An 18,815-nucleotide genomic window follows, 5' to 3' on the forward strand; every position below is an offset into this window, starting at 1 on the left:
ACCATGAAAATCTGTTGTTTAGTGTATCCACCTTCATCAATGATCTTGGCTAGATCTTCTGGAAAATATGCTGCAGCTTCTGCGTCAGCACTTGCTGCTTTACCTTGCACTTTAATACTATGGAGACAGTTTTTCTTAAGCCTCATGACCTAACCTCTTCTAGCTTCAAACTTTTCCTCTGAAGTTTCCTCACCTTTCTCAGCTTTCATAGAATTGAAGTGTTAGAGCTTTTCTCTGGATTAGGCTTCAGCTTAAGGGAATGTTGTGGCTGGGTTGATCTTCTATCTAGACCTCTCAAACTTTCTTCATATCAGCAATAAGAATGTTTTGCTTTCTTATCATTCGTGGGTTCACTGGAGTAGCATCTTTAATGTCCTTCAAGAACTTTTCCTTTGCATTTACAACTTGGCTAACTGGCTCAAGAATCCTAGCTTTCAGCCTGTCTTGGCCTTTGACACGCCATCCTCAAAAACTTAATCATGTCTAGCTGTTTATTTAAAGTGAGAGGCATATAACTCTATTTTACTTGAATACTTAGAGGCCATTGTAGGGTCCTTAATTGGCCTAATTTCAATACTGTTGTATCTCAGGGATTAAGGAGGCCAAGGAGAGAGAGAGGTGAGGAAATGGCCATCAGTGGAGCAGCCAGAACACACACAACATTTATCAATTAAGTTCACAATCCTATTTGGGTGCTGTTCATGGCACTTCCAAACAATTACAACAGTAATATCAAAGATCACTGATCACAGATCACCATAACAGATATAATGGTAATGGAACAGTCTGGAATATTGTAATAATTACCAAACTGTAACACAGAGACATGAAGTGAGTGCATGCTGTTGGAAAAAAATGGTGCCAGCAGACTTGTTCAAGGCAGGGTTGCCACAAACCTTCAATTTGCAAACAATGTAATATCTGTGAAGTGCAATCAAACAAGGTATGCCTGTAATACCTAAGTCAGGTTGAAATCCATTTGGTGGAAATCGGGCCGCCTTTCTTTGAGCTGAGGTACAAATGCTTTGTTCTTCACTGTTCATATCATTGCTGGGGAAATCAAGCTGGCATATGTTTTCAGTAACCACCACTGAGATCATTTTTCTCTCTCTCTGGGGTAATTCTGGGAAAGAAAAGCATTCAAAATATTATATTTGCTATCCCCTAGAACATTCATGTCATGTAGCACCTACAATTAATGAGTGGTACTTGTGAGGATGTGAGTCATTACAGCAAAGCATTTAATTCAATTCTTCTCCAACACACTGATTTAATCCACCCTGAGTGAAGCTGGAACTGTAACACACCTTCCCTGAATAGAGTACCATGAGATGACATGGTGTGTCTGAATGACAGCAATTTTGCACATGTACATAGCAGCTTCCAGCCTGGGATCTCCAAGAGTTGCTTCTCACGTGGTAATTGATGGCACCTCTAAGTGTTACATTAAACATTTAATTGAACAGTTAAATGTGGATTAATGAGGCCATTAATTAATACAGCGGGGAAGTCTGCAATTCTTATCTGTGGACCACAGAGAGGATTTCCCCACACCATGTATTTGAAACTACATCGTGAAAATTCAAAATTGTTGAAGCTGTTGAAAGTGTGAGAAAAAGAGTGTGATGAGAGTAGAAATAATGTAAGGCTGACAAAAAGAGGACCCAGAATATGGATACATGAGTTCAAGACCAGGTTCTATGACCAACTAGCTGTGTGACTTTGTGTATATTACTTTACCTCTCTGGGCCTTGAATTTCTTATCTTAAAAATGAGAGGTGTACATTGAGCACAACAGTCGTTTTATTAACCAATGCTCTGAGCCTGTGAACTTAACAAAATGCAATCTGGGATTGGCTCAGTTTCTTGGACCGTTCACATACCTTTTAACTTCTGTGTGTCAAACATTTGTCTGAGAGCTCCAGCTGTCCAGTTGCAGCCCCCCAAGGAGAAGTAGAAGAGCCCTGGACTTGGACTGACAAGTCCTGCTTTCTACTCTGCTGCTAGAATTGAGATCCTAGAAGTCAACAAATGCATCTGAGTCTCCAGGTTCTCATTCTTAAAATGTAGACATAATCTACTGCAAGGAGCTGTTATGAGTACTAAGCAAGATATTTTAGATGAGAGCAAGAGAGTGTGATGTATGTGTGAGCTACTATTCTTGTTTTTATTATTTTCACCCTGGGCCACTGAAAATTGGTTCTGGGGGTCATGTCAATGCCTACGGCTACTCCGTCATCTCTCTACCTTCCTTCCCTTCTTCTCTGCCTACCGTAATCTTCATTCTTGAGTCTGTATTTTTCTAAATATAAAGCAAGATATTTATTAGCAAACCTTTTGGCATCCATAATTCTTCACTCCCCAAAGTATTATTAAACCCTTTTATAACTTTGATAGTGAAAATAAAACAGAAAACCGTAAAGTTTCACAAGACGACATTTCCCCTCTCAAAATCAACCCAACCACTGAGCCTCCTGGGGAGCTTTCCTCCTACCCACCCCTTTCCCAGAAGACAGTTTACAGGATGGTCCTTAGATGAAAATGAAGAAGCAAAAAGATCAAGTAAAAAATGATTTGTGCTTTTGTTTTATTCTAAATCAGCATGAGGAGTATATTCTAGAGCAACAGTCCACAACCTTTTAGGCATCAGGGACTGGTTGTGTGGAAGATAATTTTTCCACAGACCGGGGTTGGAGGGTGGTTTTAGGATGATTCAAGCACATTACATTTATTGTGTACTTTATTTCTATTATTATTACATTGTGATATATATTGAAATAATTATACAATTCACCGTAATGTAGAATCAGTGGGATCCCTAAGCTTGTTTTCCTGTAACTAGTTGGTCCTATGCTGGGGGGCAGCGGGTGGTGATGGGAGACAGTGACAGATCATCAGGAATTAGATTCTCATAAGGAGCACACAACCTGGAGCCCTCCCATGCACAGTTCACAACAGGGCTCACGCTCCTATGAGAATCTAATGCCGCTGCTGATCTGACAGGAGGCGGAGCTCAGGTGGTAATGCAAGTGATGGGGAGTGGCTGTCAATACAGATGAAGCTTCACTCACTTGCCCGCCGCTCATCTTCTGCTGTGTGGTCCGGTTTCTAACAGGCCACAGACCAGTACCAGTCTATGACCCAGGGGTCAGGGACTCTTGTTCTAGATAACTTGTTTTACTTTAAGCAAACTTCATAAACTTTCATGGGCAGGTCATTTGGGATGGTCTTAATATAAATCTATGAGGTGCATTATCAAAAAATTAAATTAGGTTTAGTAGCATTTACTACTAAATATGCGTTACTGCCTAACCTCATATGATATATATATAAACTCTCTCTTAAAATGTTTTATTTTTCTACTATATTGAATAACAAATCTTATTTATGTAAAAACTGTTTATTGGGCACTCACTACAGCCAGCTACAGCACTGAGGAATATACTTAAGTATACAGGTGTATTTCTCTATATTATATATACAGTTGATCATCATTGTTTGTGGATTCCATATTTACAAATTAGCCTACTCCCTAAAATGTATTTGTGACCCCCAAATCAATAATCCAGTGTTTCCACAGACATGTGCAGAGTGGTGAAAACTTTGAGTCACCTGATGTGCACATTTCCAGCTGAGATAAATAAAGCTATGCTCTGCCTTCTTGCATTGGCAGACTTCCTCGCTTAAGAAAACCTCCCAGTGCCCTTTCTCTGTAGATCTGTAGATGACGTGATAGCATTAGATAACACAAGCTACTGTGTATAATTATCTGTTTATACATAAGCATTAGCTCCCCATCCAGGACCATAAACTTCTTTCAGATGGACCCTAGGTTCTATTTTTCTTATACTTTAACTACACTCTTATACTTTAAACAGAAACACACATAAAGCAAGATTATGTATTGATTGGCAACAATGATGTGATAAGAAGCTTGCAGGAACCTAACCCTGTATTCCCTTACGAGCAATAGTTCAGAATTCACTAATTCAGTGTTTGCAGCAACTTTATAAAACATAATGATTGCAAACATTGAGAACTGACTCTGTGTGCTATGTGTGTGTGTGTGATTAAGTGCTAGACATGGACTACACAGGAGCTTAATGTGTAAATTTATCCAGTGCTTTTGTATTTAGCCTGGTAATCTCACCAGAAATTGCTAATTTAAATTAGTTCCTTTGCTTTTATTAAGATAAATGGAATCTCATCAACTCAGTCTTAGGACACAAAGGAATTAGCCTTAGAAATAAAACTTTATTTTGTTAAAAACTCTAGTGAAGGAAATTATACAACAGAAGCACAGTGAAGGGATATCGTTTTTCACCTTTGTGAGCACAAAACAGATTTGAGTCTTCCCCATATCACACAGATTCAGCTCCCTCAAGCCACCCAAAGTGCAAACCGTGCCATCTCTCTTTTCTTCTAGATCGCTATCCACTCAACATTCACCCAAAACATACACCCAGTTTCCGATGCACAGGTAATAAAGATGATAAGTCCTTGGCTTACAATTACCACATGTGTAGTGAGCTGAGAGGAAAATATGGGAAGGCCACTGAGGACCACTCAGCCAGGGAAGAACAGTGAATGTCAGATAAAGCCACCAGAAGATGAGATGCTTGACCTTAGAGATGAGGAGCAGTTAATATGGTGGTCTTGGTGGGATCCCCTGGTACAAAGGTCCGCAGCACCTACTCTGTGAAGAGCACCAGAACAGATGTCATGGATGATTGAGTCAGTATCAGCCAGTATCCTGAAACTCCAGTATTTCAAGGAAGCTTTCCCTGGAGACACCCTCTCCTCCATGAACACATGCACTCCCAACCAAGAAAAAGTCTGAATCCGTCCATAGGATTCCTTTCTCCTTCCATCCTGGCACTTATTTAATCAGTATCTGTCTCCCCAAATGAAGCATATGCCCCTAAAAGCAGGAACCAAGTATTTTGTTGTTGTTAGTTTGCTGTTGCATCTCCCACTGCCTCAAGACTTGCCTGGCATAAGCTGCTGAACAACTGAATGAAGATTGCAGAGTAAGGCCAAGGTCTTATTCATGGGGTGACAGCTTTGCTGGGAGATTTTACAAGGTCATAGTATTGTGGGGATTTTTTTCCACAGTGAACAATGTTTTATCCTGGGAAATCAGTGTACCTCCCATAGGTATTTTTGTTCACCGTGCTTTTCATTGCTTAACTCTTTGACCTAATAACTAGTAAATTAGCAGTCACTAGAACTGAGAAGAGAGAAAACAGGAAAGTTTCAGGTCTTCTAACTTATATTCCTAAATGCAACCTGTGGTCCTGCCAGGTTGGCTGATATTCTTGGCTCAAACTGGGGACTTTCACAGGAGCAAGGGCTCATGTGCCTGCTTTCATCATCACTTCTAGAGCCAGCCCAGAACCTCACCCCCCAGAGGAATCATCTGCTTCTCCTCAGTCCCTTGAAATATTCTTGCCATGAGGACCCCTTCTCTCTGGGGGTAAACAGTAAGATAGATAAAGTGTACTCAAGTGGGACAGAAGTCACTAGCACACATCATGGTGGATGAGCTGTATCACAGCAGCCACCCCTGAGATGGTAGAAGAATGCTGTAAGGCTGAGTCATAGGGACTTGCCCTTTCCTGTTTCTCACCTCTTTGTTGTGGGGTTCTCACAACCAAATGCTCATATGGCCAGGCAGGTGGTCTAAGTAAGTGGAGGTGACAGGGTGGAAGTGTGGCAAGCCCTAACTGAAGGGAATAGCTACTGCTCATCTCCATGCAAGAATTTGGGACAAGTGTCACCAGATCTTCTGGTTTTTCAAGAGAAAGCAAAAGTGCGGGGACCAGATTTGTTTTCAAAGAATCTGGTTTCTTGAAATCAGAAACCATCTTAAGGTTGTCCGTTTTTCATTACTGTTGTTTTTCTGAAATGCTTTTTGTCAATCATTAGGGAGAAGATAAAGACAAATAGAACCTAGGGTCCATCCGAAAGAAGCTTATGGTCCAGGAGGGGAGCCAATGCTTATGTATAAAAAGATAATTACACAGAGTAGCTTATGTTATCTAATGCTATCATGTTATCTACAGATCTACAGAGAAAGGGCATCGGGAGGTTTTCTTAAGCAAATTTGTTGCGGAGAATCTCCTCCCTTTAGTAACAAGAAACTCAATTGTTTCTACATCCAGAAAAGGACTTTTTTTCTTTTAAGCAATAGGGCCTCCTGCTGAGACAGTAAAATTGTAGAGATACTTGTAGGGTTGTGTTGCAATATGATGAGGAGGCCAATGAAGGTGGTTCCATCAAAGAGTGCTTGAGTTAAAACTAATATATTCAAGCAGTGATACTATTTTGGCATTCTTCAGCTCCGTTTTCTTTCTTCTTTCTCCTCATCTGGACTCAGACCCTAGTTCCTGACTTTCAGTGTGGCACTCTTTCCTCTCCCTGCTTAAGAAGGAGCAGTCAGAATTATAAGGTCATGGCAACATTGTAGATTTGAAATTCCACTGTCTTACGAAACATGGCTTCTTGAGCTCCAGCATTGTTGTTTGGCAAGTTGATCAGAAATTCTCTTTCTGCCAGTGCTGAGCCATGGTAGTTAATGTGTGGAGTTCTGAAGCAACAGTTTGGATCCCATTTCTACTAACTTATCATGCTAGCTGTATGACTTTAGGAAAAGTACTTAACTTGGTACCTAAGCCACAGTTATCTCACGTATAAAATAAGGTAACCATAGTGCCTGCTTGTTAGGTGTTTTGTGAAGATCAAATGAGATCATACAGGTAAATATTATGTGAGTGAAAACCCCCACAGGTATACTAATAGAGCGTAAAAAAAAAAGAAAATCACGTGGAGGTCTATATTTGAAGAATGAGACCTGTGCCTCGTACAAAAAAAGTATTCAATTAAAGAAAGTCCACATCAGTATTACCAAATAGGGACATGAATCATTCCTTGCTGTGGAGTATTGTGAGAATAAGGACCTGCATAATTTATTATTTACTGCAAATGGAGCAAGTCAGTCTTGGAAAACTCTGATTTATTATCATATGGGTGGTGAATGAGCTTTGACCTGGCCAAGAGAAAAGTGTGCCACTCCAGGCATGGATGTCAAGCCTGGCACTCAACATGCACAATTGCTGGACTGAGCTGAGGTACAGTGCATGAAGTTCAACTAAAACCTCACCTTGGGTGATTCTCAGCTGGGAAGTGGCCCTAGCTAAATAATAATGGCACACTCAGAATCTTCCATGATTTTTGGAATTCTAGAATAATGAACTGTTTGGGAACAGGGGACTCTTCTGAAGTACCCAACAATTTAAAAGGGAGAAAAGTCCTTCTTCCCTCTCTCATCAGTCTCTTCTCTCTTCCTACCTATCCATCCATGTATCCAACAGAATCTGAATTAGAATATTTTGGTACGTGTATACCTATGTAACAAAACTGAACATTCTGCACATGTAATCCAGAACTTAAAAAAAAAAAGAATATTTGGGCATTCATGCAATCCACTTTTTCAGAGGAAAGTTAGTCTTCTTTCAAATAATTTTATAATTGCATCAATTCATCTAGGATACAGTGGGCCTTTTCACATGCCAGGTGCGGTGCAAGGCACCGAGCGTAAAAAAAAAAAAAATATATATATATATATATATATATATATATATATATATAGAAAAGTACAGTTCATGCCCTCAAGGATCTCATAGTCTCAGAGGCAAGTAACTTTTGTAATTCCCCAGCCTTCCCTTCTCTCCTTTCAGAGCTCCTCACATACTAAGTGCCCAGTGTGTTAATTTATTTTCAGCAGAGTCCGATCAGCTTCTTTGCATGAAAGTCTACATGTTTAACCTCTCCAAATTACAAGGGTGCCTGCTTTTTTAAAGGAGATGCTGTATCTTAAACCAAAAAGGTTATTTTGAGAATTTTAGACATGCTGGAAAATTTAAGTGAAGCAAATTTTTATAAATTGTGTATATACTTGCTAACCCTGACATGAGCCAGGTATGTAGCTACCAAAAATTTCTTGGTCAGGATATTCTTGACCTTTCGTGCAGGTTGCTGGAAGCCCCCAAGTCTTGTAGTTACTCTTTACTGCAGACTAGTAAAGAAACATGCTTTGGATCAGAATTGAGACCTGGGGTCAGGGGGTGTGTTTCTATCCTCATTCTCTCCAATTTTATACGACTGAGCACTTCTGTATTGCTCAAACAAATGTGTCATTTCTTGTACTCTTGGAGTGTCCCAGTATGTGTGTATACCCTGGGACTTGATGACATAATGAATTTCCCCATCAAAGCTCTGTAATCGAGCCATCTTCACTATCTGATGGCATAAGTCAAATATTAGTCTTAATTTGAACCAGGCCATTATCATATTAGACTTCTCTGTCATTCTTGATGACTGCAGAGCCAATGGCTCTCACATTTCCAAGTGTTAAAGAATTACCACTTCAATGGGCTCAACTGTTCCCCAATTTTTATTTAGAAAACTGATAATGGTTGAAATAAACCACAGGGGGTCAAAAAGCCAGGTGGCCAGGGAGCTTATACCCGAAATGAGAAAAGCCTTGCTACCTGCTGGTTTAATAGGCTGCCCTTATTTCTAATGGGGCTGAGTGGAGCTGAAATCAAGGCTGAGAGACCATATCACAGCGATCTTAACATCGAACCACCTGACATTGGGTCTGTGGGGGATATTTCATCATTGTCTGCTTGACCTTTGGCCTGTTAGACTTACAGCCCATCATTTCTGGGAAGCAGCGACTGAAAAAGCCATTTGTTCCCCATCGATGTACCTGTCCTGATGTGCTGTCAACAGCTGTTTGCATTGCTAACTGCGCCAAGGGAAAACAATTGATGCTGGCAAACTCGAATTTCTAACCACCTCTTTTATTTTTGTCACTCCTGGTGCTAATGATGACCTATATTCTCTACCATAATGATTATCTTAAAAGTCTTTTTGGCGTTGAAGAGAGCGTTTGAGTCCTAAGTGCCTGTATTGTGAAAGAATATAATATGGAGAGGTCTATTATCTTAGAATTCATTTGCCTATTTTTTTCTTTTTTTAAGGCAGCACTGTAAATTAAACCACTTGAGTTGGCTTTGTAGGTTTCCTTTTTTGTTTCCTTTTTTTTTTTTTTTTTGCATACACAGCAAGGATAACTACACCTCAGATTTATGAGCATTGTGAACAGGTTGCCATAGCAACCACTCTGGCTGCTCTACACCAAATAACCTTGTCATGTGAGCGTTTATCACAGGAACATCAAGGACTGGATTGCACTGTACGCTCTTTGGCTAAACAGCAGGATTTTTCTGAATAATAATTGGTCGTGGCCTTTTATTCCACCAGTCAGAGTTAATCATCCTCGGAATCTGAAATTAACCATAATGCATTCAAGGCGCAGAGTGCAGCCATTCAAAAATTCCTCTTTGGGGAAGAAAACTTTCCAGTGATCTTTGGTCTTTGTTGTATATGATCATTGTTGTTATTGTTATTGTCACTATTATTGGGAAGGCTTAATGAGAGAAGGATGAGCATTTGGGAATGGCATCTAGAACTCATTAACATGATATAAGTAAAATGGGTATTTAACTACCGTATTATTTATGAGAAATAAGAGATATTTTAAGCTGCCATCAAAACCAGCAGGTTTTTTCCTCTCTCAAATTACCTTTATAGGACATTTGATCATTTGAATATATTTTATTAGGTTAATTTATTTTCCATAGATCATGTTTTAATACACACCCAGAAATCACAATGTGCTTCTGATGTATCATCTGAGGAGGGAAAATGAGTGGGGTGTAAAGGATCAGCGAGGTCCCAGTGCCTATGGAGCACGTGTGTGTACACACATGTGGTACTTGTGCACATCCACACAAATCCGCAAGATGGACCCTAGAAAGAAAATAATTACATCACAAGGATACAGCTGGCTCTCTATCATAGGCAATTATGTTAGAGCTAGGGGTTGGTGGGTTTAAAAAATATCAGGATTTTGGTTATTTATCAGCAGAGAGGTTTTCTGATCTGTGAAAAGTCACCTTACAAAATTCTACTAGGGATAAAGCCAGGCTTCAGCAAATTCAACAAATTATGGGGTTTTTTTTAAGCATCTTAACACTTCCCCTTTTTGGTGATCCTTTCTTTTACCTTTTCTTTTTCAACTTCCTTGGTCCCTAGACCTTATTTCTTACAGGCCATTTGTATTTGTCCATTCTCACGCTGCTATAAAGAACTGCCCAAGACTGGGTAATTTATAAAAGAAGGAGATTTAATTGACTCACAGTTCTGCATGGCTTAGGAAGCCTCAGGAAACTTACAATCGTGGCAGAAGAGGAAGCAAACACATTCTTCTTCACATGATGGCAGGAAGGAGAACTGCCAAGCAAAGAGGGAAAAGCTCCTTATAAAGCCATCAGATCTTCTGAGAACTCACTCACTATCAGGAGAATAGCAGCATGGGGGGAACCGCCCCCAATTCAATTACCTCCCACCAGGTCCCTTGCATGACATGTGAAGATTATGGGGACTAAAATTCAAGAGCAGATTTGGGTGGGGACACAGCCAAACCATATCACCTTTTATCATCGTTATTGTTGATAATAATTGTCATTGCCTTAAGTGTGACCTCTCCTGAAGATAATTACTTAAAAAAAAATCTCAAATGGAGGAATTTCAGAAATCAGTAAATAATATTTTTTAAAGAATGCATTCAAGGAGGAAAGGACTTTTTTAAGTTCCCACCTAGTCATACCTTCTAGGAAGCCACCAATATTGCCAACTTCTAACACTCTTTTATAAGAGGAACCTGTAGTCATTCCAATCAAATGAAGCTAAATGATTGGATGTGAAGATGAAAAACAGCTAAGTGGGAAGACTTGGGTGCAGCTATTCAGGGAAATAGCACCATCCATCTCATGTCACATCCCTGCTCTTGTCTTTTTGTTGCTTTTCCTTTGAAATAAATGTATATATGAGTCAGTAAAATAAGTTTTAGAAAAGCAACAATATTCATTTATTCATCATATTATGGTAGTTGTAAATGCCAAGGACACTGCTAGGTGTGTGGGGGGAACAGCAATAAAAGAAATCTGATTCTTATCCTCTGGGTACTCACAAGCTTGGAGGGAGACGAGACATAAAGAACCTGGATAGTTACTGCACTCTTAATAAGAAACAAATGTCTTGTGAGTGGCACAGAAGTGCCACTAGAGGTGGCAGCCATCTCTGGCATTGTCATAAGAGGGCGTCTGTTGCATGTGGTGTTGAAACAACTAAGCTACAAGAAAGTGTAGAAGGCTGGTGATTGGAAGGAGAGCATTCCAGGGAAAGAGGATAGCAGGAGTGAAGTAGGAGACATATGAGTGTTTGGTAGAGTCTGAGAAAAGCCAGCATTTGTCAAGGACCCAGGTTCACATCCATGAGTCGTCAGTAGAGATAAAACTGGAACGGTACCTTCAGGTCAGATTTGAAGCTTGGTTACCAGGGGTCTTGAATATCTTCCTAATATGCCTGGGCATTTATTTGGATGGCATCAGAAAGTCATTTCAGGTTCTTAAGCAAAATATTGATGTGATCAAAGTGATAGAAAATTTAAATGAGACTGGGGTGAGAAGGACGAACGAAGACATTTTAGAAGTTGTTTCATCATCTGAGGAGGTGGATTTACCTCTAATCCCTGTTCAACTAGCTTTCTCTTATTTTCCTTCTGAGGAAAAAAAAGGCATCTCCATTTTGGTAGTGATTTTGAAGTGCAGTGTCAGAGGAGGGGAGAGGGTCCACTCCTGGTGCAAGCATCAGATCCATGGCTTAGCAATCAGAGGGGAGGACGGTTAGGAAAATGCAATTGGTTATATTTGGGCTGTTCAGGCTGAAGCACCAAAGATACTGCTAGAGTCTCTTCATTTGATTTCTCAAGATTTAATGTGTGTTTTGTGAAGAGGAAAAAAGTGATAAATGTTTCTGACCAGTGCTCACTAAGCTATGACCAACCTGCCAGTAAGCATTGCTGCTATTAGGCCTGCTATTATTATAAGAGTGCTATCCTTTGAAACTAACAAGAGAAACATATTCACTCTATGTGGTGGAGAATCTTCATGGAATTGTGCCGGGAACCCAGGGTTCCTAAAGCACACCCTGACTGGGATGATCCCCAAAGTTTCTCACAGGCCCCTTTTATTCTGCTAAGGGGTATGATGTGTGTAGGTGAGGCTTAAAGTATGAACAGGAGGAAAATGATTCTCTCTCTGATGCCCCTTCACTCTTCCTTACTCTTGAATATCAAACTATTGAGAAAACTTGTTTTGTGTTGTCATTCTGTCCCAGAAGCAGTTCAAAATGAACTTTTAAAACATTTTATCAGGTCGGGCGTGGTGGCTCATGCCTATAATCCCAGCACTTTGGGAGGCTGAGGCAGGCGGATCACCTGAGGTCAGGAGATCGAGACCAGCCTGGCCAATGTGGTGAAACCCCACCTGTACTAAAAATACAAAAATTAGTCAGGTGTGGTGGCGCACGCCTGTAATCCCAGTGACTCTGGAGGCTGAGACAGGAGAATTACTTGATCCCAGGAGGCAGAGGTTGCAGTGGGCTGAGATCACACCACTGCACTCCAGCCTGGGCGACAGAGGAAGACTCCAACTCAAAAAAAAAAAAAAAATCTCCAGTTTTATTTTATGTAATTAATGAGGACAAAAATCAGTGTGTCCTTTGCACTTTCAGTAGAGTGGGCATTCTTGCTAATAGTACTCAATATGATTCACCTCCGGTTCTCCCTGCTTAGAAATAGCTGCTCTGTTTGGGAAATTCCATGTTACCTAAAGCTGCATAACAGATTGTTCCAAAATATAATGGCTTAAAACAACAATAGTCATTTAATATTTCTCACAGTTTCCATGGGTCACAAATCTGGGAACAGCTTGGCCAGGTAGTTCTGGCTTGGGATCTCTCATGAGATGTCAGCTATGGCTGTCATCTGAGGACTTGACCAGGACTAGAGGATGCACTTCCAAGGCAGCTCACTCACATGGCTGGAAAGTTAGTGCTGGCTGTTGGCAAGAGTCCTCAGTTCCCCACCCGAATCTCTCCACAGGGTTGCTTGAGTGGCCTCAAAACATGGTGGCTGGCTTCTCTCAGAGTGAGTTATTCAAGATACTAAGCAAGACGTCTTTATGAACCAGCCTTGGAAGTCATATACCATAACTTCTAGTGTATTCTATTGATCACATAGGACAGCCTGATTCAATGAGAGTGAGAATTATACAAGGTGTGAACTCCAGGAAATAAAGATCCACAGATCCACACGAGGATGGTGTGGGAAGGGGGCATGTCTTGGAGGTTAAGTATCACAGAGGTGTATCTTTGCAGCTCACATGTGGATGTGTCAGGTTCTGGTATTCAGAAGATGATACTACCCTGTTTCTGCCCCCAAACTGGAAAATGTTCTACCCATGCTGAGGTTGAGTGGTAAAGAATTCCTTTAATCTGATATAATCTGGAATAATGGTTGATAATAGGAAAGGATGGTCAAATTCTTTTAAACATGATTTTAAACTTATAAATATGCACTTATTTGCCAATCGTTTGGTACAGGTGGAATTATTTTTATTATTATTATTATTTTTTTTTTTGAGACGGAGTCTCACTCTGTTGCCAGGCTGGAGTGCAGTTGTGTGATCTTGGCTCACGGCAACCTCCGCCTCCCGGGTTCAAGAAATTCTCCCGCCTCAACCTCCCGAGTAGGTGGGACTACAGGCATGCACCACCACGCCTAGCTAACTTTTGTATTTTTAATAGAGATGGGGTTTCACCATGTTGGCCAGAATGATCTCAATCTCTTGACCTCGTGATCTGCCCACCTCAGCCTCCCAAAGTGCTGGGATTACAGACATGAGCCACCGCACCCGGCCTGATTTTTTCTTAAATAAACTTCTTCTCATTAAAGTTCTGCATCCTTTCCCTCCACAAATCATTCCAAGAATACATTATTTACATTATCTAGCTTTGGGTTCTTTAAAGTGAATCAAGAACCTAAAATGTATTTTATGAGCTATCTACGTGCAGAATTTTATTATTTTTAACTAATCTCTTAGAGTTGTCCCACCCACATTCTATTTAACATCGATCCTTTTTTTTTTTTTAATCAATTTCCCATTTACTGGCTCTTTCCAAAGCAATCAACTTGTTTTTTTGTCAAATCAACAACCCTCTTTGCATTCATAGTTCACAGTTTTGCATAATATTTAAATAAATTATAACTACAACCAGCATAAAAAGGTTTGGGAACAAACACAATTGATTCTTGGGAAGCACGCATTTCAACAGGTATGAGTGGCATGTACCAGCAGAGAGGAGTGTGCTAGACCTAAGGGTTCATCAGAACATCTTGAAGATAGAACGAGCAGCATCAGCTATGTGGCCATGTGTTAAGGCGATGTTTTTGGTCCGTATTTTTACTTAATTTAAATTTCCTCAAAAATTTACATTGTAATGGCTGATCTTTGTATCCTTTTCTCAAAAGTCAAATCTGTGCAAATGAATGCACTGGCCATGCAGCTGACCAATCACAGACTACCAGTGAACCCACAATGCTCTCCTCACCAAGCATGTAGGATGACCTACACGACCTCTGAAGGCCTCAAAGAATGGAGAGATGAATGCCTAAGAGTTAATTATGTTTGGTCCCAAACCTTAAAATGTCAATGTGAATCAGCCACTAATCCAACGCTGAATGATCATGCCTGGACAAAAGTGCATCAGCACTATTTTCAGCAGACAAGGTAGGCTTCCTGGAGGAGGAGGTCTTGACTTTGGACTTGAATAGAATATGACACATCCAATGGGACAGGAGGTTATACCACAGAAATGAGAATGAGTGGGAAAGATAGGAGTATTTGTTGAATAGCAAGTACAACATGGAGAAGAGAAGCTGAAAATGTGATCTCTCAGAGAAGGTAGGGCCAAAGAGGCCCGAGGGTCTTGTCTGTTAGAAATAGGGAGCTATAGCAGGTTTCTGAGCAGGGGAGTAGCATGACTAATGAGGTGTTGGAAGACTGTCAATCTGGCAAGAGGACACTGGGTACTCTCAAGCAGGAAGAAGCTGGATCCAAGGCCTGTTTGCAGCAGCTATTACAGTGGTTTGAAAATGAGGTATGAGAAGGTCCCAATAAAGGTGTGGTCTGTGAATATAGAGATTTCACTAGCAAAAAATAACTGGATTTGGGAGCTGTAAGACAGGGAAGGTAAGAAGAAGAGAGGCAAATTTGAGTCTAGGGAGTTAGAAGAAATAGTTGGTGCCACTCATATAGTATGAAAACATGGAAAAGGGAACCAGGGTGCATGAGGAAGTGAGGAACACAGATTTAGGCTAAGCGTGAGGTGGAAGGGGAGGCGTGGAGAGGACTAGTGGAAGGTTAGGGACAGAAGACGGCTGAGCCAGGGAGAGGGGCAGATTCAGGAATCACCCACAGAGCAGCCTGTGAGAGGCCCCAAACATGGACAGGTGAGGCCTCTGGGGAGGATCCTACAGAGAGACAGAAGGCCAATGTCAAGACTGAGCCACGGCCAGAACCCCTGCTCCATCAATGGAGCCAGAACTTTTCATGGCCCAGAAAAGGCAGTTAGAGCTGTTGCTGTCTAAGCTTTTATAGGCCACCTCTCTGCTTTTCATTTCCTCATCTCCTTCTTGTCCTCTGTCTTCCCTTTCTGAGTCTCCATTTAGAGGACAGGCAATTACACCTCATCAGTGCGATTTGTACACTGCTGTCACATGTAGGCTTAGCCCGGCTCCCTCAGTGCTAATTTCTGCTTCTTTTTGCTGTCCCCTCCTAACTTTTCCACTTCTTCCACTATCTTACTTTTCTACCTCGTTAAGGACAGGAGCCCCTCCATTAGAACTCACACTCCATTGTGTCACACATCGTTTAAATATCTTATCACTTTGCCATTGGGAAAAACAGTAATTGATGGTATTTCCATTTATTTTCACTCTCTCTGCTCCATTTGGGGAATGAAGACGGTTTCAAATAGCTCATTATTTATTTTCCGCTCAGGCTCAAGTTGTATTCCAGCACCGTCCTTACAGGGACCCGAACTTCCCACAATCCCATAATGTTTTATGAGCAGTTTTACAATCAAGATGCTATATTATCATATCCTTCTGAAAGGTGGTTATATGAATAGTCAGGAAGCAGTAGCTGAAGTACAGAGAAATCTCTGCGACAGTTTGACAGCGAGTTCATAGTCCTGTCCTGGGGAGAGCCCTTTGCTCAGGACCCCCTGTGTGGAGGAGCTTCTGCAGGGGCTCAGAGTGGCCAGTAATGTTGTAAAATGCTGTCCTATTTAATGACAACATGCACAAACAGAGGAGGTGCAACAGAACATTCTAACCAGAGGGTTCCTTAGTGAGCATCTGGCCTATCCCACCTATTTTATGGGTGAAGACAATGAAGCTTGGGTAAAAAATGTGACTGACAAGGGACATAGACAAAGATGACCTCTGAGCTGGAAATCAAGCTTTTTGACAGTCACAAATAAAAAAAAATCTTTTTAAAAAAATAATTTTGTTAAATACATCATAAATATGACATCCAGCATATCTAGTCAACTATACTAATAGGAACAAAAACCCACAGATGATGACATAACTTGATATTTATTGTCAACAAAGCAAAGCAGGCAGAAGTGCTGGTAATTGGTGTGTCCTCATCTCATCCCCAGTGCTGGTGCTTGAGTGCTGCATTTTTTATTTACCTTGTCAGACAGCATCATTTCACCCAAGATTTATTGAGTCCATGTGGAGTATGTTTTCATTCCTTATTCATCTCTCTCTTGGTTTTCTACAATAGAGAAATAACTGGAGCTGAGCTAAGAGGCTTCTCCCACTGTATTTGAGATATGCTAACCAATGCCACTCTTGGGACTGGCTTCTGGAGAGGTCCCTGAGATGGGCAGAGGGAGGGAGGTTGAAGACGTCACGTAACAGCATCACTTCTGGATCCTAGCTGAATTCTGGGAAGATGGGATTTCCTGTAATAAAATGGGGTTGGGAAGTACACTGTTTAAAAGGCCTGGGATCACAGACACTAAAAAGAACTATGAACTTGGACCTGGGATCCAGTTCTAACTTTGCCATCAAATAGCTACATGACTTTTCGGAGCCTCCATATCCTCATGTATAAAGGGGTTGGTTCTGTAGAGTGAGACTCCATCCAGTGCTCATATTCTGGGGTTCTATGGAGACTGTGCCTGTGGGAGATGGTGAGCAATGATTGCAAAGAACATGGAAGGGGGGATGCTAAGGCAAAGCTAATGGGAAACACATGGTGTGGATGCCTGAAGGCAGGAAGAAAGGGGGTAGGGTCAGCAGGCCCAGGGGCTTCCCATCAAGGCTTCACTTCTCCAGGAGCAAACTGTTTCTAAAATCACAACTGTGCACAGGCATGAGTAGGTGGACACCCACACTTGCTTTTTCATTGCTCATCAAAGGAGAGCCATTTATAATCATCTCCATTGACTTTCAAACATGCTGTGAAGTAAACAGACTCTATTATAACGTGTTTACAAATGAGGTCACTGAAGCTCCAAGAAGGTAAGAGACTTTTCAAGATTTATCGTTTATGGGCTGAGCTGGACAAGACCCAAAATTTCCTAGTTCCTAGTCACAGGCCTTTTCCAACTCCAACTTCCAAGTTTGCTATAGCAACCACTTATATTTCTATAGAAATTTTTACTTGTAAAGTATATTTAAAAACCATTACCTCATTTTTATCCTGCTGAAGGCCTGTCAGTTGGGAGTGCTGGGGGCTATTTCTCTTGGTTTAGAGATGGTGAAACTGAAGAGATTTTCCCTGAGTTTCCTAATCATTCAGCAAACCCTCTTAGAGCACCCATGTTTCACCAAGCACATCCCAGACATGGCTGCCTAATGGCAAAGCTAACTTTTATCTCAATGTGTCTTGACTGCACATCCAGTTCCCTTTAGGAGTTGAGATTTTCAAGGCACGAATAAAAGTTTTCATAAGAAGCTTCTAAATATGCCATGGACAAATGGTCCTGGCAATGGTAATAAATATTCCATCCAAATGCTGACCCTCCATAGCCCACTCTTATTTTAAGATGGCCTTCCAACCCTAGAATTAATGTAAGAGATATGTAACAATTCTAAGATTGTTAATTCTACATGGCATGGCTATAACAACATTTGATGAGGGCACCAGTCCCAGGCTTTGGTTTTGATTTGAAATAGGCAAAGCATGTATGAATGCCATCCACCCTACCAGTGCTGTCTCCTCTCCATCTTCTCAGCACCATGATTCTGCATGCTCCTCCACCTGAGAACTGTATCCTTGGTTCTGTCCCTGTTAGTCCCCCTGATGAATTGCCAGTACATCAGTGGCACAGGCTGTCACAAAAACAGAGATGGGATGGCAAGCCCTAGAGATGGCTGTGGAAGACATGTCTGCTCTGGGAGAGGATTTGAACTAGCTTGTGCTGAGATTCACTCTGCTGCTAAGGACACATGAAATAGACTCACTGAAAGTATTTTAAATATCTTCTAGTAACGTGGTCTCTCCTGGAATTCAGTGTCAGTCAGGCCCCTAGGTATAATAGTAAGCTGTCCAGCACTTTCTAGTTTACACATATTCTGTCAACCTTCTACAGATTCTCAAAGCAATTCCCATTTCTACATTTTCCTTTATGACTTTCCCATGGATAGGTAAACAGTCCTAGGGTATTTTTTTTTAAAGGGAGGGGGTGGATTTCATTTGAGTGAAAAGCTGTGTGCTGTCCCCGACTTCAGAAAAGGTGCTTCTCCTCCATTATTACCTGGG

The 18,815-nt window shown here is 41.1% G+C and overlaps 1 protein-coding gene and 1 long non-coding RNA gene across 8 annotated transcripts in view; one reads left to right on the top strand and one right to left on the bottom strand.

The window, feature by feature from the left end:
* Window positions 1-18,815, top strand: part of SLC14A2 (solute carrier family 14 member 2) — a 515,726-nt gene that overhangs the window by 239,184 nt on the left and 257,727 nt on the right. The window lies entirely within an intron of this gene.
* SLC14A2-AS1 (SLC14A2 antisense RNA 1) overlaps window positions 1-18,815 on the bottom strand; it is a 142,177-nt gene that overhangs the window by 42,260 nt on the left and 81,102 nt on the right. For 2 of the 3 annotated variants that reach the window (XR_007066350.1, XR_007066351.1), the window contains exon 11: window positions 16,618-17,010. The exons of the other annotated variant lie outside the window; for it this stretch is intronic. This is a non-coding gene — a long non-coding RNA (SLC14A2 antisense RNA 1). Of the gene's footprint in view, window positions 1-16,617; window positions 17,011-18,815 lie in introns of those variants that run through there. 3 annotated transcript variants of the gene reach the window in all.

The sequence above is a fragment of the Homo sapiens genome, chromosome 18 (assembly GCF_000001405.40).
Source record: "Homo sapiens chromosome 18, GRCh38.p14 Primary Assembly".
NCBI lineage: Eukaryota > Metazoa > Chordata > Mammalia > Primates > Hominidae > Homo > Homo sapiens.